At 58.5% G+C, this 21,153-nt stretch overlaps 1 protein-coding gene and 1 long non-coding RNA gene across 23 annotated transcripts in view; one reads left to right on the forward strand and one right to left on the reverse strand.

Annotated features, from left to right (window-relative positions):
* The window catches only part of LOC101928032 (uncharacterized), a 41,203-nt gene extending 22,960 nt beyond the window's left edge, over nt 1–18,243 (reverse strand). For 5 of the 16 annotated variants that reach the window (XR_007068376.1, XR_001755748.2, XR_001755754.2 and 2 more), the window contains exons 1-3: nt 18,089–18,243; nt 7,723–7,857; nt 4,870–4,938 (exon numbers count right to left, since the gene is read on the reverse strand). This is a non-coding gene — a long non-coding RNA (uncharacterized LOC101928032). Of the gene's footprint in view, nt 1–1,137; nt 1,517–4,869; nt 4,939–7,705; nt 7,858–18,088 lie in introns of all 16 variants that reach the window. The other 11 variants (XR_007068372.1, XR_007068373.1, XR_007068377.1 and 8 more) reach the window with 9 other exon arrangements.
* The window catches only part of IL3RA (interleukin 3 receptor subunit alpha), a 45,905-nt gene that overhangs the window by 23,449 nt on the left and 1,303 nt on the right, over nt 1–21,153 (forward strand). For all 7 annotated transcript variants that reach the window (NM_002183.4, XM_005274432.2, NM_001267713.2 and 4 more), the window contains 3 exons: nt 4,905–5,019; nt 18,426–18,531; nt 20,790–20,871. In NM_002183.4, coding sequence (NP_002174.1) covers nt 4,905–5,019; nt 18,426–18,531; nt 20,790–20,871 — 303 coding nt within the window. The remainder of the gene's footprint in view (nt 1–4,904; nt 5,020–18,425; nt 18,532–20,789; nt 20,872–21,153) is intronic.

The following is a 21,153-nucleotide window of genomic DNA, read 5'->3' on the forward strand; positions in this document are numbered from 1 at the left end:
CTCTGTATCTCTCTCCCTTTCTCCCTCCATCTTTCTCTCTCTCTCCTGGTCTCTATCTCCCCCTCTCCCTGTCTCTCTGTGTCTGTCTCTGTATCTCTCTCCCTTTCTCCCTCCCTCTCTTTATCTCTCTCTCTCTCTCTGCCTCTATCTCCCACTGTCCAAATCTGTGTCTCTGTCTCTCCCTCTTTCATTCTCCCTCTCTTTCTCTATCTCTCTCCTTGTCTATATCTCCCCCTCTCCCAGTCTCTCTGTATCTCTGTATCTCTCTCCCTTTCTCCTTCCCTCTCTTCATCTTTCTTTTTGAAACGGAGTTTTTCTCTTGTTGCCCAGGCTGGAGTGCGATGGCACGATCTCGGCTCACTGCAACCTCCGCCTCCCAGGTTCAAGCGAATCTACTCCCTCAGCCTCCCAAGTAGCTGGGATTACAGGCACTCGCCACCATGCCCAACTAACTTTTTTTTTTTTTTGTATTTTTAGTAGAGACAGGGTTTCACTAGTGGGCCAGGCTGGTCTCGAACTCCTGACCTCAGGCGATCCACCTGCCTCATCCTCTCAAAGTGCTGGAATTACAGGTGTGAGCCACCGTGCCCGGCCCCTCTCTTTATCTTTCTAGCTCTCTCCCTGTCTCTCTCTCCCTTCCCCTCTCTGTCTCTCTCTCCCTTCCCCTCTCTGTCTCTCTCTCCCTTCCCCTCTCTGTCTCTCTCTCCCTTCCCCTCTGTCTCTCTCTCCCTTCCCCTCTCTGTCTCTCTCTCCCTTCCCCTCTCTGTCTCTCTCTCCCTTCCCCTCTGTCTCTCTCTCCCTTCCCCTCTCTGTCTCTCTCTCCCTTCCCCTCTCTGTCTCTCTCTCCCTTCCCCTCTCTGTCTCTCTCTCCCTTCCCCTCTCTGTCTCTCTCTCCCTTCCCCTCTCTGTCTCTCTCTCCCTTTCCTTCTCTGTCTCTCTCTCCCTTCCCCTCTCTCTCTCTCCATTCCCCTGTCTCTATGTCTCTCCCTTTCTCTCTCCCATTATTTCTCTGTGATTGTCTCTTTCTTTCTCTGCCTCTGTCTGTCTGTCCCCCTGTATTAGTCCATTGTCACACTGCTGATAAACATATACCCAAGACTGGGTAATTTATAAACAAAAGAGGGTTCCTGGACTCACAGTTCCATGTGGCTGGGGAGGCCTCACGATCACGGCAGAAGGTGAAGGAGGAGGAAAGGCATGTCTTACATGTCAGCGGGCAAGACAGAATGAGACAGTCGCCGGGCGCAGTGACTCATGCCTGTAATCACAGCACCTTGGGAGGACGAGGTGGGTGGACCACGAGGTCAGGAGTTCAAGACCAGCCTGGCCAACATGGTGAAACCTAGCTCTACTAAAAATAAAAAAAATTACCCAGACGTGGTGGTGGCAGGCGCCTGTGGTCCCAGCTACTCGGGAGGCTGAAGCAGGAGAATCGCTTGAACCCGGGAGGCAGAGGTTGCAGTGAGTTGAGATCGCGCCACTGCACTCCAGCCTGGGTGACAGAGTGAGACTCCGTCTCGAGAAAAAAAAAAAAAAAAAAAAAATGAGAGCCGAGAGAAAGGTTTCCCTTATTAAACCATTAGATCTCGTGAGACTTATTCACTACCCCGAGAACAGTGTGGGGGGAAACTGCCCCCATGATTCAGTTATGTCCTACCCAGTCCCTCTCACAACACGTGGGAGTTATAAGGGCTACAATTCAAGATGAGATTTGGGTGGGGACACAGCCAAACTACATCACCCACTCTCTCTGTCTCTCTGCTTCTGTTTTCCTCTCTGTCTCTGTTTTTCTTTCCCTCTCTCTGTCTCTTTGTATCTCTGTCTCTCTCTCTCTGTCTCCGTTTCTATCTCTGTCTCTCTCTGTCCATCACCCACTCTGTCTCTTTGTCTCTCTATGTCTCTCTGTTTCTGTTTTTCTGTTTTTCTCTTTCCCTCTCTCTTTGTATCTATGTCTTTCTGTCTCTCCGTTTCTGTCTCTCTCTCTGTCCATCACCCACTCTGTCTGTCTTTGTCTATGTCTCTCTGTTTTTCTGTCTCTTTTTCTCTTTCCCTCTCTGTCTCCCCTCTCTGTGTCTCTTTGTATCTCCGTCTCTCCCTGTCTGTTTCTATCTCTGTCTCTCTCTGTCCATCACCTACTCTGTCTCTTTGTCTCTGTCTGTTTCTGTTTTTCTTTCTTTTTCCCTCTGTCTCCCTTCTCTGTGTCTCTTTGTATCTCTGTCTCTCTCTGTTTCTATCTGTCTCTCTCTGTCCATCACCCACTATCTCTGTCTATGTCTGTTTTTCTGTCTCTGTTTTTCTCTCTCCCTCTCTCTGTCTCCCCTCTCTGTGTCTCTTTGTATCTCTTTCTCTCTCTCTGTCTCTCCCTGTCTGTTTCTATCTCCGTCCTCCTGTATTAGTCCATTTTCATGGACTAATGAGGATCCTTCCCGCTTCTCCCAGCTCCTGGGGACTCTGGGGTCCCTGGGCTTGTGGCCATATCACTCCACTCTCTGCCTCCGTCTCCACATGGCCTTCTCCTCTGCATCCGTGTCTCCTTTTTATTTATTTATTTATTTATTTTGAGACAGAGTCTCGCTCTGTCACCCAGGCTGGAGTGCAGTGGTGCGATCTCAGCTCACTGCAACCTCCGCCTCCCAGGTTCAAGCGATTCCCCTGCCTCAGCCTCCCGAGTAGCTGGGACTACAGGTGCACACCACCACGCCTGGCTAATTTTTGTATTATTAGTAAAGATGGGATTTTACCTTGTTGCTCAGGTTGACCTCGAACTCCTGACCTCAGGTGATCTACCCACCTCAGCCTCCCAAAGTGCTGGGATTACAGGTGTCAGCCACCGCGCCCGGCCACGTCTCCTCTTCTTATAAGGATATTGGTCATTGCATTTAGGGCCCCCCCTGATCCAAAATGACATCATCTCAATCTATATCTTAACGACATCTGCCATGAACAGGTATTTCATCATAAGGCCCCATTGTAAGGTGCTGGGGGCTAAGACTGCAACATATGAATTTTGGGGGATCACAATGCAGCCTCATTCTTTTGTACCCATCAAATATGAATGGTCTTTTCTTCTTTTTTTTTTTTTTTTGAGACGGAGTCTCGCTCTGTCACCCAGGCTGGAGTGCAGTGGCGCAATCTCGGCTCACTGCAAGCTCCGCCTCCCGGGTTCCCGCCACTCTCCTGCCTCAGCCTCCTGAGTAGCTGGGACCTCAGGCGCCCGCCACCGGGCCCGGCTAATTTTTTGTATTTTTAGTAGAGACGGGGTTTCACTGTGGTCTCGATCTCCTGACCTTGTGATCTGCCCGCCTTGGCCCTCCAAAGTGCTGGGATTACAGGCGTGAGCCACCGCGCCTGGCCGAGCTATTTCATCATAAGGCCCCACTGTAAGGAGCTGGGGGCTAAGACTGCAACATATGAATTTTGGGGGATCACAATGCAGACTCATTCTTTTGTACCCATCAAATATGAATGGTCTTTTCTTCTACTTTTTTGTTTGGTTTTTAATTTCAGACAGGCTCTCACTCTGTCACCCACGCTAGAGTGCAGTGGCACAGTCACGGCTCACTGCAATCTCTGCCTCCTGGGCTCAAGGGATCCTCCTGCCTCAGCCCCCCAAGTAGCTGAAACTACAGGCGTTTGCCACCAGGTCAGCTCATTTAAAAAAAAATTTGGCTGGGCGCGGTGGCTCACGCTGGTAATCCCAGCCCTTTGGGAGGCCGAGGCGGGTGGATCATGAGGTCAGGAAATCAAGACCATCCTGGCTAACATGGTGAAACCCTGTCTCTACTAAAAAAAAAAATACAAAAAATTAGCTGGGCATGGTAGCGGGTGCCTGTAGTCCCAGCTACTCGGGAGGCTGAGGCAGGAGAATGGCATGAACCCGGGAAGCGGAGCTTGCAGTGAGCCGAGATCACGCCACTGCACTCCAGCCTGGGGGACAGAGTGAGACTCCATCTCAAAAAAAAAAAAATTTTTTTTTGGCTGGACGTGGTGGCTCACACTGGTAATCCCAGCACTTTGGGAGGCTGAGGCGGGTGGATCACCGGAGGTTGGGAGTTCGAGACCAGCCTGACCAACATGGAGAAACCCCGACTCTACTAAAAATACAAAATTAACCGAGCGTGGTGGTGGGCGCCTGTAATCCCAGCTACTCGGGAGGCTGAGGCAGGAGAATCGCTTGAATCTGGGAGGCGGAGGTTGCGGTGAGCCGAGTTGGTGCCACTGCACTCCAGCCTGGGCAACAAGAGTGAAACTCTGTCTCAAAACAAAACAAAACAAATTTTCTTCTAGAGATGGGGTCTTGGTTTGTTGCCCAGGCTGGTCTCAAACTCCTAAGCTCGAGGTATCCCCCCACCTCAGCCTCCCTGGTAGCTGGGACCAAAGACATGTGTCACCACGTCTGGTAATTTTTACAGTTTTTTTTTTTTGGTAAAGATGGGGTCTTGCTATGTTGCCCAGGCTGGTGTCAAACTCCTGGGCTTAAGGAATTCTCCCACCTCAGCCTCCAAAAGTGCTGTGGTGAGAGGCATAAACCGTAGCACCCAGCCCCTCTTTTCTTCTTTTATTTATTTATTTATTTATTTATTTATTTATTTAGAGACAGAGTCTCACTCTGTTGCCCAGGCTGCAGTGCAGTGGTGCCATCTCGCCTCACTGCAACCTCCACCTCTCAGGTTTAAGCTATTCTCCTGCCTCAGCCTCCTGAGTAGCTGGGATTACAGGTGCCTGCCACCATGCCAGGCTAATTTTTGTATTTTTAGTAGAGACAGGGTTTCACCATGTTGGCCAGGCTGGTCTCGAACTCCTGACCTCAGGTGATCCACCTGCCTTGGCCTCCCTAAGTGCCCAGGTGAGAGTCATGAGCCACCATACCTGGCCCCTCTTCTTTATTTTCTTTCAAACCACAGGTCAGAGACAGAACCTCCTTCCAGCTACTCAATCCTGGAACGTACACAGTACAAATAAGAGCCCGGGAAAGAGTGTATGAATTCTTGAGCGCCTGGAGCACCCCCCAGCGCTTCGGTGAGTGGGCTGTGCGGGGTGCGCGGGGTGAGCGGGGTGAGCGGGGTGCGCGGGGTGAGCGGGGTGCGCGGGGTGAGCGGGGTGCGCGGGGTGAGCGGGGTGAGCGGGGTGAGCCGGGTGCGCGGGGTGAGCCGGCTGCGCGGGGTGAGCGGGGTGAGCGGGGTGAGCGGGGTGAGCGGGGTGCGCGGGGTGAGCGGGGTGAGCGGGGTGCGCGGGGTGAGCGGGGTGAGCCGGGTGCGCGGGGTGAGCCGGGTGAGCGGGGTGCGCGGGGTGAGCGGGGTGAGCGGGGTGCGCGGGGTGAGCCGGGTGCGCGGGGTGAGCGGGGTGAGCCGGGTGCGCGGGGTGAGCGGGGTGAGCGGGGTGAGCCGGGTGAGCCGGGTGAGCCGGGTGCGCGGGGTGAGCCGGGTGCGCGGGGTGAGCGGGGTGCGCGGGGTGAGCGGGGTGCGCGGGGTGAGCCGGGTGCGCGGGGTGAGCGGGGTGCGCGGGGTGAGCGGGGTGCGCGGGGTGAGCCGGGTGCGCGGGGTGAGCGGGGTGAGCGGGGTGAGCCGGGTGCCCCGGGTGAGCGGGGTGCGCGGGGTGAGCCGGGTGCGCGGGGTGAGCGGGGTGAGCGGGGTGCGCGGGGTGAGCCGGGTGCGCGGGGTGAGCCGGGTGCGCGGGGTGAGCCGGGTGAGCGGGGTGAGCGGGGTGCGGGGTGCGCGGTGCGCGGGGTGAGCGGGGTGCGCGGGGTGAGCCGGGTGCGCGGGGTGAGCGGGGTGAGCCGGGTGCCCCGGGTGAGCGGGGTGCGCGGGGTGAGCCGGGTGCGCGGGGTGAGCGGGGTGCGCGGGGTGAGCGGGGTGCGCGGGGTGCGCGGCGTGAGCCGGGTGCGCGGGGTGCGCGGGGTGAGCGGGGTGCGCGGGGTGCGCGGGGTGCGCGGGGTGAGCGGGGTGCGCGGGGTGCGCGGCGTGAGCCGGGTGCGCGGGGTGAGCGGGGTGCGCGGGGTGAGCGGGGTGCGCGGGGTGAGCCGGGTGCGCGGGGTGAGCCGGGTGAGCCGGGTGCGCGGGGTGAGCGGGGTGCGCGGGGTGAGCCGGGTGAGCCGGGTGCGCGGGGTGAGCCGGGTGCGCGGGGTGAGCGGGGTGCGCGGGGTGAGCCGGGTGCGCGGGGTGAGCGGGGTGCGCGGGGTGAGCGGGGTGCGCGGGGTGAGCGGGGTGCGCGGGGTGAGCCGGGTGCGCGGGGTGAGCGGGGTGAGCGGGGTGAGCCGGGTGCCCCGGGTGAGCGGGGTGCGCGGGGTGAGCCCGGTGAGCCGGGTGCGCGGGGTGAGCCGGGTGCGCGGGGTGAGCCGGGTGAGCGGGGTGAGCGGGGTGCGCGGTGCGCGGGGTGAGCGGGGTGCGCGGGGTGAGCCGGGTGCGCGGGGTGAGCGGGGTGAGCCGGGTGCCCCGGGTGAGCGGGGTGCGCGGGGTGAGCCGGGTGCGCGGGGTGAGCGGGGTGCGCGGAGTGAGCGGGGTGCGCGGGGTGCGCGGCGTGAGCCGGGTGCGCGGGGTGCGCGGGGTGAGCGGGGTGCGCGGGGTGCGCGGGGTGCGCGGGGTGAGCGGGGTGCGCGGGGTGCGCGGCGTGAGCCGGGTGCGCGGGGTGAGCGGGGTGCGCGGGGTGAGCGGGGTGCGCGGGGTGAGCCGGGTGCGCGGGGTGAGCGGGGTGCGCGGGGTGAGCCGGGTGCGCGGGGTGCGCGGGGTGCGCGGGGTGCGCCGGGTGCGCGGGGTGAGCCGGGTGCGCGGGGTGAGCGGGGTGCGCGGGGTGCGCGGGGTGCGCGGGGTGAGCCGGGTGCGCGGGGTGAGCGGGGTGAGCCGGGTGCGCGGGGTGAGCGGGGTGAGCCGGGTGCGCGGGGTGAGCGGGGTGCGCGGGGTGAGCCGGGTGCGCGGGGTGAGCGGGGTGCGCGGGGTGAGCCGGGTGCGCGGGGTGAGCGGGGTGCGCCGGGTGAGCGGGGTGAGCGGGGTGAGCCGGGTGCGCGGGGTGCGCGGGGTGCGCCGGGTGCGCGGGGTGAGCCGGGTGCGCGGGGTGAGCGGGGTGCGCGGGGTGCGCGGGGTGCGCGGGGTGAGCCGGGTGCGCGGGGTGAGCGGGGTGAGCCGGGTGAGCGGGGTGCGCGGGGTGAGCCGGGTGCGCGGGGTGAGCGGGGTGCGCGGGGTGAGCCGGGTGCGCGGGGTGCGCGGGGTGAGCCGGGTGCGCGGGGTGAGCGGGGTGCGCGGGGTGAGCGGGGTGCGCGGGGTGAGCCGGGTGCGCGGGGTGAGCCGGGTGCGCGGGGTGCGCGGGGTGCGCGGCGTGAGCCGGGTGCGCGGGGTGCGCCGGGTGCGCGGGGTGAGCGGGGTGAGCCGGGTGCGCGGGGTGAGCGGGGTGCGCGGGGTGAGCGGGGTGCGCCGGGTGAGCCGGGTGCGCGGGGTGAGCCGGGTGCGCGGGGTGAGCGGGGTGCGCGGGGTGAGCCGGGTGCGCGGGGTGAGCGGGGTGCGCCGGGTGAGCGGGGTGCGCGGGGTGAGCGGGGTGCGCCGGGTGAGCGGGGTGCGCGGGCTGAGCGGGGTGCGCCGGGTGAGCGGGGTGCGCGGGGTGAGCGGGGTGCGCCATCCTGGGTCACGGAAACACTCCTCTCCTGCAAAGGAGAGGAGATTCACTCCCCCAGTTTCTGTGACCCCAAAAAGGACCCTGAACCCGACGGTGAACTCACAGCTTGCTCTTACTCACGAGAGGAGACGTGGAGGGGAAACAAGGTCGTCCCACTGACAGACACCCCCTGGGCCTTGTAATAAAGACCGAGGCGGGCGGATCACAAGGTCAGGAGATCGAGACCATCCCGGCTAACACGGTGAAACCCGGTCTCTACAAAAAATGTAACAAATTAGCCAGGCGTGGTGATGGGCGCCTGTAGTCCCAGCTACTCGGGAGGCTGAGGCAGGAGAATGGCGTGAACCCGGGAGGCGGAGGTTGCAGTGAGCCGAGATCGCGCCACTGTGCTCCATCCAGCCTGGGCGACAAGAGCGAGACTCCATCTCAACAACAAAACAAAAGGATCGCCTCAGAGTAGAACTTCTGGCCGGGCACGGTGACTCATGCCTGCCATCCCAGCACTTTGGGAGGCTGAGGTGGGTAGATCACCTGAGGTCAGGAGTTCGAGACCAGCCTGACCAACATGGAAAAACCCTGTCTCTACTAAAAATAGAAAAATTAGGTCAGGTGCTGTGGCTTAAGCCTGTAACCTCAGCTACCAGGGAGGCTGAGGCAGGAGAATCGCTTGAATTGTGTTCCCTCAAAATTCGTGTGTTGAAGCTTTGATCCCCCAGGACCTCAGAATGTGACTGTGTTTGGAGTTGGGGTGTTTAAAGAGGCGATTAAGGTAAAATGAGGTCATTAGGGTGGGCCCTAATCTAACAGGACTGGGGTCCTTATAAGAAGAGGAGATGAGGACACAGACACACACAGAGGGACGACCCTGTGGGACACAGGGAGAAGACGGCGTCTCCAAGCCCAGGAGAGGGGCCTCAGGAGGAACCAGCACTGCCCACACCTGGATCTCAGACCTCCAGCCTCCAGGGCTGTGGGAGAATCAATGTGTTTTGTTTCTAAGCCGCCCAGCCTCTGGTATTCTGTGACAGCAGCCTGAGATGGACTAAGCCATCTCATAAGAAGAGACGAGGACACAGACACACACAGAGGGACGACCCTGTGAGGGCACAGGGAGAAGACGGCGTCTCCAAGCCCAGGAGAGGGGCCTCAGGAGGAACCAGCACTGCCCACACCTGGATCTCAGACCTCCAGCCTCCAGGGCTGTGGGAGAATCAATGTGTTTTGTTTCTAAGCCGCCCAGCCTCTGGTATTCTGTGACAGCAGCCTGAGATGGACTAAGACATCTCATAAGAAGAGGAGATGAGGACACAGACACACACAGAGGGACGACCCTGTGAGGGCACAGGGAGAAGACGGCGTCTCCAAGCCCAGGAGAGGGGCCTCAGGAGGAACCAGCCCTGCCCACACCTGGATCTCAGACCTCCAGCCTCCAGGGCTGTGGGAGAATCAATGTGTTTTGTTTCTAAGCCGCCCAGCCTCTGGTATTCTGTGACAGCAGCCTGAGATGGACTAAGACATCTCATAAGAAGAGGAGATGAGGACACAGACACACACAGAGGGACGACCCTGTGAGGGCACAGGGAGAAGACGGCGTCTCCAAGCCCAGGAGAGGGGCCTCAGGAGGAACCAGCACTGCCCACACCTGGATCTCAGACCTCCAGCCTCCAGGGCTGTGGGAGAATCAATGTGTTTTGTTTCTAAGCCGCCCAGCCTCTGGTATTCTGTGACAGCAGCCTGAGATGGACTAAGCCATCTCATAAGAAGAGACGAGGACACAGACACACACAGAGGGATGACCCTGTGAGGGCACAGGGAGAAGACGGCGTCTCCAAGCCCAGGAGAGGGGCCTCAGGAGGAACCAGCACTGCCCACACCTGGATCTCAGACCTCCAGCCTCCAGGGCTGTGGGAGAATCAATGTGTTTTGTTTCTAAGCCGCCCAGCCTCTGGTATTCTGTGACAGCAGCCTGAGATGGACTAAGACATCTCATAAGAAGAGGAGATGAGGACACAGACACACACAGAGGGATGACCCTGTGAGGGCACAGGGAGAAGACGGCGTCTCCAAGCCCAGGAGAGGGGCCTCAGGAGGAACCAGCCCTGCCCACACCTGGATCTCAGACCTCCAGCCTCCAGGGCTGTGGGAGAATCAATGTGTTTTGTTTCTAAGCCGCCCAGCCTCTGGTATTCTGTGACAGCAGCCTGAGATGGACTAAGCCATCTCATAAGAAGAGACGAGGACACAGACACACACAGAGGGACGACCCTGTGAGGACACAGGGAGAAGACGGCGTCTCCAAGCCCAGGAGAGGGGCCTCAGGAGGAACCAGCACTGCCCACACCTGGATCTCAGACCTCCAGCCTCCAGGGCTGTGGGAGAATCAGTGTTTTGTTTCTAAGCCGCCCAGCCTCTGGTATTCTGTGACAGCAGCCTGAGATGGACTAAGCCATCTCATAAGAAGAGACGAGGACACAGACACACACAGAGGGACGACCCTGTGAGGGCACAGGGAGAAGACGGCGTCTCCAAGCCCAGGAGAGGGGCCTCAGGAGGAACCAGCCCTGCCCACACCTGGATCTCAGACCTCCAGCCTCCAGGGCTGTGGGAGAATCAATGTGTTTTGTTTCTAAGCCGCCCAGCCTCTGGTATTCTGTGACAGCAGCCTGAGATGGAGTAAGACATCTCATAAGAAGAGGAGATGAGGACACAGACACACACAGAGGGACGACCCTGTGGGACACAGGGAGAAGACGGGGTCTCCAAGCCCAGGAGAGGGGCCTCAGGAGGAACCAGCCCTGCCCACACCTGGATCTCAGACCTCCAGCCTCCAGGGCTGTGGGAGAATCAATGTGTTTTGTTTCTAAGCCGCCCAGCCTCTGGTATTCTGTGACAGCAGCCTGAGATGGACTAAGCCATCTCATAAGAAGAGACGAGGACACAGACACACAGAGAGGGACGACCCTGTGAGGACACAGGGAGAAGACGGCATCTCCAAGCCCAGGAGAGGGGCCTCAGGAGGAACCAGCACTGCCCACACCTGGATCTCAGACCTCCAGCCTCCAGGGCTGTGGGAGAATCAATGTGTTTTGTTTCTAAGCCGCCCAGCCTCTGGTATTCTGTGACAGCAGCCTGAGATGGACTAAGACATCTCATAAGAAGAGGAGATGAGGACACAGACACACACAGAGGGACGACCCTGTGAGGACACAGGGAGAAGACGGCGTCTCCAAGCCCAGGAGAGGGGCCTCAGGAGGAACCAGCCCTGCCCACACCTGGATCTCAGACCTCCAGCCTCCAGGGCTGTGGGAGAATCAATGTGTTTTGTTTCTAAGCCGCCCAGCCTCTGGTATTCTGTGACAGCAGCCTGAGATGGACTAAGCCATCTCATAAGAAGAGACGAGGACACAGACACACACAGAGGGACGACCCTGTGAGGGCACAGGGAGAAGACGGCGTCTCCAAGCCCAGGAGAGGGGCCTCAGGAGGAACCAGCCCTGCCCACACCTGGATCTCAGACCTCCAGCCTCCAGGGCTGTGGGAGAATCAATGTGTTTTGTTTCTAAGCCGCCCAGCCTCTGGTATTCTGTGACAGCAGCCTGAGATGGACTAAGCCATCTCATAAGAAGAGACGAGGACACAGACACACACAGAGGGACGACCCTGTGAGGGCACAGGGAGAAGACGGCGTCTCCAAGCCCAGGAGAGGGGCCTCAGGAGGAACCAGCCCTGCCCACACCTGGATCTCAGAACTCCAGCCTCCAGGGCTGTGGGAGAATCAATGTGTTTTGTTTCTAAGCCGCCCAGCCTCTGGTATTCTGTGACAGCAGCCTGAGATGGACTAAGACATCTCATAAGAAGAGGACATGAGGACACAGACACACACAGAGGGACGACCCTGTGGGACACAGGGAGAAGACGGGGTCTCCAAGCCCAGGAGAGGGGCCTCAGGAGGAACCAGCCCTGCCCACACCTGGATCTCAGACCTCCAGCCTCCAGGGCTGTGGGAGAATCAATGTGTTTTGTTTCTAAGCCGCCCAGCCTCTGGTATTCTGTGACAGCAGCCTGAGATGGACTAAGACATCTCATAAGAAGAGGAGATGAGGACACAGACACACACAGAGGGACGACCCTGTGGGACACAGGGAGAAGACGGGGTCTCCAAGCCCAGGAGAGGGGCCTCAGGAGGAACCAGCCCTGCCCACACCTGGATCTCAGAACTCCAGCCTCCAGGGCTGTGGGAGAATCAATGTGTTTTGTTTCTAAGCCGCCCAGCCTCTGGTATTCTGTGACAGCAGCCTGAGATGGACTAAGACATCTCATAAGAAGAGGAGATGAGGACACAGACACACACAGAGGGACGACCCTGTGAGGACACAGGGAGAAGACGGCGTCTCCAAGCCCAGGAGAGGGGCCTCAGGAGGAACCAGCCCTGCCCACACCTGGATCTCAGACCTCCAGCCTCCAGGGCTGTGGGAGAATCAATGTGTTTTGTTTCTAAGCCGCCCAGCCTCTGGTATTCTGTGACAGCAGCCTGAGATGGACTAAGCCATCTCATAAGAAGAGACGAGGACACAGACACACACAGAGGGACGACCCTGTGAGGGCACAGGGAGAAGACGGCGTCTCCAAGCCCAGGAGAGGGGCCTCAGGAGGAACCAGCCCTGCCCACACCTGGATCTCAGACCTCCAGCCTCCAGGGCTGTGGGAGAATCAATGTGTTTTGTTTCTAAGCCGCCCAGCCTCTGGTATTCTGTGACAGCAGCCTGAGATGGACTAAGCCATCTCATAAGAAGAGACGAGGACACAGACACACACAGAGGGACGACCCTGTGAGGGCACAGGGAGAAGACGGCGTCTCCAAGCCCAGGAGAGGGGCCTCAGGAGGAACCAGCCCTGCCCACACCTGGATCTCAGAACTCCAGCCTCCAGGGCTGTGGGAGAATCAATGTGTTTTGTTTCTAAGCCGCCCAGCCTCTGGTATTCTGTGACAGCAGCCTGAGATGGACTAAGACATCTCATAAGAAGAGGACATGAGGACACAGACACACACAGAGGGACGACCCTGTGGGACACAGGGAGAAGACGGGGTCTCCAAGCCCAGGAGAGGGGCCTCAGGAGGAACCAGCCCTGCCCACACCTGGATCTCAGACCTCCAGCCTCCAGGGCTGTGGGAGAATCAATGTGTTTTGTTTCTAAGCCGCCCAGCCTCTGGTATTCTGTGACAGCAGCCTGAGATGGACTAAGACATCTCATAAGAAGAGGAGATGAGGACACAGACACACACAGAGGGACGACCCTGTGGGACACAGGGAGAAGACGGGGTCTCCAAGCCCAGGAGAGGGGCCTCAGGAGGAACCAGCCCTGCCCACACCTGGATCTCAGAACTCCAGCCTCCAGGGCTGTGGGAGAATCAATGTGTTTTGTTTCTAAGCCGCCCAGCCTCTGGTATTCTGTGACAGCAGCCTGAGATGGACTAAGACATCTCATAAGAAGAGGACATGAGGACACAGACACACACAGAGGGACGACCCTGTGGGACACAGAAGACGGGGTCTCCAAGCCCAGGAGAGGGGCCTCAGGAGGAACCAGCCCTGCCCACACCTGGATCTCAGACCTCCAGCCTCCAGGGCTGTGGGAGAATCAATGTGTTTTGTTTCTAAGCCGCCCAGCCTCTGGTATTCTGTGACAGCAGCCTGAGATGGACTAAGACATCTCATAAGAAGAGGACATGAGGACACAGACACACACAGAGGGACGACCCTGTGAGGGCACAGGGAGAAGACGGCGTCTCCAAGCCCAGGAGAGAGGCCTCAGGAGGAACCAGCCTTGCCCACACCTGGATCTCAGACCTCCAGCCTCCAGGGCTGTGGGAGAATCAATGTGTTTTGTTTCTAAGCCGCCCAGCCTCTGGTATTCTGTGACAGCAGCCTGAGATGGACTAAGACACCTCATAAGAAGAGGAGATGAGGACACAGACACACACGGAGGAACAACCCTGTGAGGACACAGGGAGAAGACGGCATCTCCAAGCCCAGGAGAGAGGCCTCAGGAGGAACCAGCCCTGCCCACACCTGGATCTCAGACCTCCAGCCTCCAGGGCTGTGGGAGAATCAATGTGTTTTGTTTCTAAGCCGCCCAGCCTCTGGTATTCTGTGACAGCAGCCTGAAACGGACTAAGACATCCCATAAAAAGGAGATGAGGACACAGACACACACGGAGGGACGACCCTGTGGGACACAGGGAGAAGACGGCGTCTCCAAGCCCAGGAGAGGGGCCTCAGGAGGAACCAGCACTGCCCACACCTGGATCTCAGACCTCCAGCCTCCAGGGCTGTGGGAGAATCAATGTGTTTTGTTTCTAAGCCGCCCAGCCTCTGGTATTCTGTGACAGCAGCCTGAGATGGACTAAGCCATCTCATAAGAAGAGACGAGGACACAGACACACACAGAGGGATGACCCTGTGAGGGCACAGGGAGAAGACGGCGTCTCCAAGCCCAGGAGAGGGGCCTCAGGAGGAACCAGCACTGCCCACACCTGGATCTCAGACCTCCAGCCTCCAGGGCTGTGGGAGAATCAATGTGTTTTGTTTCTAAGCCGCCCAGCCTCTGGTATTCTGTGACAGCAGCCTGAGATGGACTAAGACATCTCATAAGAAGAGGAGATGAGGACACAGACACACACAGAGGGACGACCCTGTGAGGGCACAGGGAGAAGACGGCGTCTCCAAGCCCAGGAGAGGGGCCTCAGGAGGAACCAGCCCTGCCCACACCTGGATCTCAGACCTCCAGCCTCCAGGGCTGTGGGAGAATCAATGTGTTTTGTTTCTAAGCCGCCCAGCCTCTGGTATTCTGTGACAGCAGCCTGAGATGGACTAAGCCATCTCATAAGAAGAGACGAGGACACAGACACACACAGAGGGACGACCCTGTGAGGACACAGGGAGAAGACGGCGTCTCCAAGCCCAGGAGAGGGGCCTCAGGAGGAACCAGCACTGCCCACACCTGGATCTCAGACCTCCAGCCTCCAGGGCTGTGGGAGAATCAATGTGTTTTGTTTCTAAGCCGCCCAGCCTCTGGTATTCTGTGACAGCAGCCTGAGATGGACTAAGCCATCTCATAAGAAGAGACGAGGACACAGACACACACAGAGGGACGACCCTGTGAGGGCACAGGGAGAAGACGGCGTCTCCAAGCCCAGGAGAGGGGCCTCAGGAGGAACCAGCCCTGCCCACACCTGGATCTCAGACCTCCAGCCTCCAGGGCTGTGGGAGAATCAATGTGTTTTGTTTCTAAGCCGCCCAGCCTCTGGTATTCTGTGACAGCAGCCTGAGATGGAGTAAGACATCTCATAAGAAGAGGAGATGAGGACACAGACACACACAGAGGGACGACCCTGTGGGACACAGGGAGAAGACGGGGTCTCCAAGCCCAGGAGAGGGGCCTCAGGAGGAACCAGCCCTGCCCACACCTGGATCTCAGACCTCCAGCCTCCAGGGCTGTGGGAGAATCAATGTGTTTTGTTTCTAAGCCGCCCAGCCTCTGGTATTCTGTGACAGCAGCCTGAGATGGACTAAGCCATCTCATAAGAAGAGACGAGGACACAGACACACACAGAGGGACGACCCTGTGAGGGCACAGGGAGAAGACGGCGTCTCCAAGCCCAGGAGAGGGGCCTCAGGAGGAACCAGCCCTGCCCACACCTGGATCTCAGACCTCCAGCCTCCAGGGCTGTGGGAGAATCAATGTGTTTTGTTTCTAAGCCGCCCAGCCTCTGGTATTCTGTGACAGCAGCCTGAGATGGACTAAGACATCTCATAAGAAGAGGACATGAGGACACAGACACACACAGAGGGACGACCCTGTGGGACACAGGGAGAAGACGGGGTCTCCAAGCCCAGGAGAGGGGCCTCAGGAGGAACCAGCCCTGCCCACACCTGGATCTCAGACCTCCAGCCTCCAGGGCTGTGGGAGAATCAATGTGTTTTGTTTCTAAGCCGCCCAGCCTCTGGTATTCTGTGACAGCAGCCTGAGATGGACTAAGACATCTCATAAGAAGAGGAGATGAGGACACAGACACACACAGAGGGACGACCCTGTGGGACACAGGGAGAAGACGGGGTCTCCAAGCCCAGGAGAGGGGCCTCAGGAGGAACCAGCCCTGCCCACACCTGGATCTCAGACCTCCAGCCTCCAGGGCTGTGGGAGAATCAATGTGTTTTGTTTCTAAGCCGCCCAGCCTCTGGTATTCTGTGACAGCAGCCTGAGATGGACTAAGACATCTCATAAGAAGAGGACATGAGGACACAGACACACACAGAGGGACGACCCTGTGGGACACAGAAGACGGGGTCTCCAAGCCCAGGAGAGGGGCCTCAGGAGGAACCAGCCCTGCCCACACCTGGATCTCAGACCTCCAGCCTCCAGGGCTGTGGGAGAATCAATGTGTTTTGTTTCCAAGCCGCCCAGCCTCTGGTATTCTGTGACAGCAGCCTGAGATGGACTAAGACATCTCATAAGAAGAGGACATGAGGACACAGACACACACAGAGGGACGACCCTGTGAGGGCACAGGGAGAAGACGGCGTCTCCAAGCCCAGGAGAGAGGCCTCAGGAGGAACCAGCCTTGCCCACACCTGGATCTCAGACCTCCAGCCTCCAGGGCTGTGGGAGAATCAATGTGTTTTGTTTCTAAGCCGCCCAGCCTCTGGTATTCTGTGACAGCAGCCTGAGATGGACTAAGACACCTCATAAGAAGAGGAGATGAGGACACAGACACACACGGAGGAACAACCCTGTGAGGACACAGGGAGAAGACGGCGTCTCCAAGCCCAGGAGAGAGGCCTCAGGAGGAACCAGCCCTGCCCACACCTGGATCTCAGACCTCCAGCCTCCAGGGCTGTGGGAGAATCAATGTGTTTTGTTTCTAAGCCGCCCAGCCTCTGGTATTCTGTGACAGCAGCCTGAAACGGACTAAGACATCCCATAAAAAGGAGATGAGGACACAGACACACACGGAGGGACGACCCTGTGGGACACAGGGAGAAGACGGCGTCTCCAAGCCCAGGAGAGGGGCCTCAGGAGGAACCAGCCCTGCCCACACCTGGATCTCAGACCTCCAGCCTCCAGGGCTGTGGGAGAATCAATGTGTTTTGTTTCTAAGCCGCCCAGCCTCTGGTATTCTGTGACAGCAGCCTGAGATGGACTAAGACATCTCATAAGAAGAGGAGATGAGGACACAGACACACACCAAGGGACAACCCTGTGGGACACGGAGAAGACGGGGTCTCCAAGCCCAGGAGAGAGGCCTCAGGAGGAACCAGCCCTGCCCATGCCCATCTCTTGATCTTGGACCTGCAGCTTCCAGGACTGTGGGAGAATCAATTCCTTTTTTCTTTTTCTTTTTTCTTTTTTTTCCTCTTTTTCTGAGATGGAGTCTCACTCTGTCGCCAGGCTGGAGTGCAGTGGCGTGATCTTGGCTCACTGCAACCTCCACCTCGCAGGTTCAGGCCATTCTCCTGCCTCAGCCTTCTGAGTAGCTGGGATGACAGGCGCCCGCCACCACACCCGGCTACTGTTTGTATTTTTATTAGAGACGGGCTTTCTGGCCATGTTGGCCAGGCTGGTCTCATACTCCCGACCTCAGGTGATCCGCCCGCCTTGGCCTCCCAAAGCGCTGGGATTACAGGCGTGAGCCACCGCGCCCGGCCAAATTCCTTTTTTCTGAAGCCACCAAGCTGTGGGACTTTTTTATGGCAGTCCCAGCAGACAGATCCACCCTCGTTCCAAATAAGGTTATCGTCATAGGTTCTGGGGGTGAGGTCATAGATGTATGTTTTTTTTTTTTTTTGGAGAGAGAGTCTCTCTCTATTGCCCAGGCTGGAGGGCAGTGGCGCGATCACGGCTCACTGTAGCCTCGACCTCCTGGGCTCAAGCGATCCTCTCGGGAGGCTAAGAGAGGAGAATCGTTTGAATCCGGGAGGCAGAGGTTGCAGTGAGCTGAGATAGCACCACAGCACTGCAGAGCGAGACTCTGTCTCAAAAAAAAAAAAAAGAAAAAAGAAAAAAAATAGGCCGGGTGCGTGGCTGACGCCTGTAATCCCAGCACTTTGGGAGGCCGAGGCGGGTGGATCACTTGAGGTCAGGAGTTCAAGACCAGCCTAACGAAGATGGTGAAACCCCATCTCTATGAGAAATACAAAAATTACCCGGGCGTGGTGGCGGGCGCCTGTAGTCCCAGCTACTCGGGAGGCAGGGGCAGGAGAATCGCTTGAACCTGGGAGGTGGAGGTTGTGAGCTGAGATCGTGCCACTGCACTCCAGCCTGGGCGACAAAACGAGACTCCATCTCAAAAAAAAAAAAAAAAGAAAAAGAAAAAGAAAAAATTAACACACACACACAAATTCCATGATAAACACAAAATCAAGTTCAAAGCACGCACGCCAGTGCTGCCTCTGCTGCCCCTCCATGCTGCCCACACCCAAAGCACCTGCCGGCCTGCTGGGCACAGTGGAAGTCCCTGGCGCTCCCCGTGTCCCGAGCACCAGGCAGACAGGGATCCCTGGTGGTCTTTCCGCTCCCTTAGGGTTCCAGACTGGGGCTGGGAGGTCCGGAAGTCGCTCCCGGTCCTGGTACTCAGGTGGCCTGCAGGTGGCCCGCAGGTGGTCACGGTCTCTGTGCAGGTGGCACTACTGGGGTGTCCCCCCCTGGACGCCACCCCATATGGCAGCCACCTCTCTGCTTCCCAGGGCCCCGGGGAGAGCTTACAGTCCCTGGTCCCCCCAGGACGGCCCCCGGTCTGTGACCCTCTCACCCTTTACCCCTAGAGTGCGACCAGGAGGAGGGCGCAAACACACGTGCCTGGCGGACGTCGCTGCTGATCGCGCTGGGGACGCTGCTGGCCCTGGTCTGTGTCTTCGTGATCTGCAGAAGGTGAGCCCTCGAGGGCGTCCGCGAGCGTCGCTTGTTTCCAGTGTGACCCTGAAAGTTATTCACAGAACCATCCTGAGAATTATCATTATTATTTTTGTGATGGAGTCTCGCTCTGTCTCCCAGGCTGGAGTGCAGTGGCACGATCTGGGCTCACTGCAGCCTCTGCCTCCTGGGTTCAGGCGATCCTCCTGCCTCAGCCTCCCAAGTAGCTGGGATTACAGGCACCCAGCAACACACCCAGCTAATTTTTGTATTTTTAGTAGAGACGGGGTTTTGCCATGTTGGCCAGGCTGGTCTTGAATTCCTGGACTCAGGTGATCCACCTGCCTCAGCCTCCTAAAGTGCTGGGATTACAGGCGTAAGCCACCTCGCCTGGCCCATATTATTATTATTGTTATGATTATTATTATTTTTTGAGTCTTGCTCTGTCACCCAGGCTGGAGTGCAGTGGCTCGATCTCGGCTCACCGCAGCCTCCACCTCCCGGGTTCAAGTGATTCTCCTGCCTCAGCCTCCCGAGTAGCTGGGATTACAGGTGTGCAACACTGCACCCAACTAATTCTTGTATTTTTAGTGGAGACGGGGTTTCACCATGTTGGCCACACTGGTGTTGAACTCCTGGCCTCAAGTGATCCCCCAGCCTCGGCCTCCCAAAGTGCTGGGATTACAGGCGTGAGCCACCGCACCTGGCCCCTTGAGAATTATTCACAAAAGACCAGGGGCCAGGTCCTCTCTGCTAGCTGCCCCCTGCCAGGAGGTCTGTAGAGCCAAAGCTGAGGGCTCTGGTGGGACCAAGGGTGTCCCCAGGGTGGAGGAAGCAGGGCCGGTCCTCCCCTGCCCTGCCCAGCGGGCCTGACACAGTCAGAGGGCGAAAGGCCAGGCTTTCTGGTCGGGAAGGGGCCTGGGCGAACGTCACAGCTGTCCACTTGGATGGGCCAGGATCCGTCATGCAGACCAACTCGAGGTTTTTGGTCACCAGCTGGGTCACCCCAGGTCCTGTCTCCTTTTTTTTAGAGAAGGAGTTTTGCTTTTGTTGCCCAGCCTGGAGTGCAATGGCGCCATCTCGGTTCACTGCAACCTCTGCCTCCTGGGTTCAAGCGATTCTCCTGCCTCAGCCTCCCTGAGTAGCTGGGATTACAAGGATGTGCCACCACGCCTGGCTAATTTTGTATTTTTAGTAGAGATGGGGTTTCTCCGTGTTGGTCAGGCTGGTCTTGAACTCCTGACCTCATGTGATCCACCCGCCTCGGCCTCCCAAAGTGCTGGGATGACAGGCGTGAGCCACCATGCCCGGATAATTTTGTATTTTCAGTAGAGACGGAGTTTCTCCGTGTTGATCAGGCTGGTCTTGAACTCCTCACCTCAGTTGATCTGCCCGCCTGGGCCTCCCAAAGTGCTGGGATGACAGGCGTGTGCCACCATGCCCAGATAATTTTGTATTTTTAGTAGAGATGGAGTTTCTCCATGTTGGTCAGGCTGTTCTCGAACTCCTGACCTCAGTTGATCTGCCCGCCTGGGCCTCCCAAAGTGCTGGCATTACAGGCTTGAGCCACCATGACCAGCCAGGCCCTGTTTCCTTCCTGCTGGGCATCAGAGCTTCACAATCTGTCAAATGGGTGCCATGGTGACTTCTGTCTCCCGGGGGAAGGGGGAAAAGGGGAGGGGGAGGGGGAAGGGGAAGAGGGGGGAGGAGGGGGGAAGGGAGGAGGGGGAAGGGAGGGGGGAAAGGAGGGGGAAGGGAGGAGGGGGAAGGGAAGAGGGGGAGGAGGGGGAAGGGGAGGAGGAGGAGGGGGAGGAGAGGCGAGGGGGAGGGTGGGGGAGGGGGAAGGGGGAGGAGGAGAGGGGAGGATGAGTGGGGAGGGGGAAGGAGGGAGAGGGGGAGGGGGAGAGGGAGGGGTAGGGGGGAAGGGGTGGAGGAGGGAGGAAAAGGGGGAGGAAGAGGGGGACGAGGCCCTTCCTGCAAGCTGTCTCAGGTCGTAAACTCAGTGACCTGAGGCACCAGGGGTCTGTCTTTGCAGCTGCACCCCTGGGTGGCTCCGGTACCAGCGCCCTACTCCTTTAATTAGACACCAGCGCCTGCCTATGATGATGGTCGGGGGCGTGTCAGGGCCTCAGGGGCCGGGAAAATAGAGACCCCTCGAGTAGATGACTTGAGTCTTTTGCTCTGTCCTGGCACTGTCTGTCCTGGACACGCTGTGTCCCAGATGATGAGCTGGTCGGTTTTGGGTTCAGAGCTGGGCCATTTCTCTTTCCTCCGAGGTATCTGGTGATGCAGAGACTCTTTCCCCGCATCCCTCACATGAAAGACCCCATCGGTGACAGCTTCCAAAACGACAAGCTGGTATGTTGTTTTTTCTGCCTTGGGACGGGTCTGGAGGCGTGGTGGCCACTTTGGGAGGCCCAGGCGGGCGGACCACTTGAGGCCAGGAACTGGAGACCAGCCTGGCCAACATGGAGAAACTCCGTGTCTACTAAAAATACAAAATTAGCCGGGTGTGGTGGCGGGCGCCTGTAATCCCAGCTACTCGGGAGGCTGAGGGAGGAGGATCACTTGAACCCGGGAGGTGGAGGCTGCAGTGAACTACGATCGAGCCACTGCACTCCATCTGGGCGACAAGAGTGA

Source organism: Homo sapiens, chromosome X (genome assembly GCF_000001405.40).
Source record: "Homo sapiens chromosome X, GRCh38.p14 Primary Assembly".
Lineage (NCBI taxonomy): Eukaryota > Metazoa > Chordata > Mammalia > Primates > Hominidae > Homo > Homo sapiens.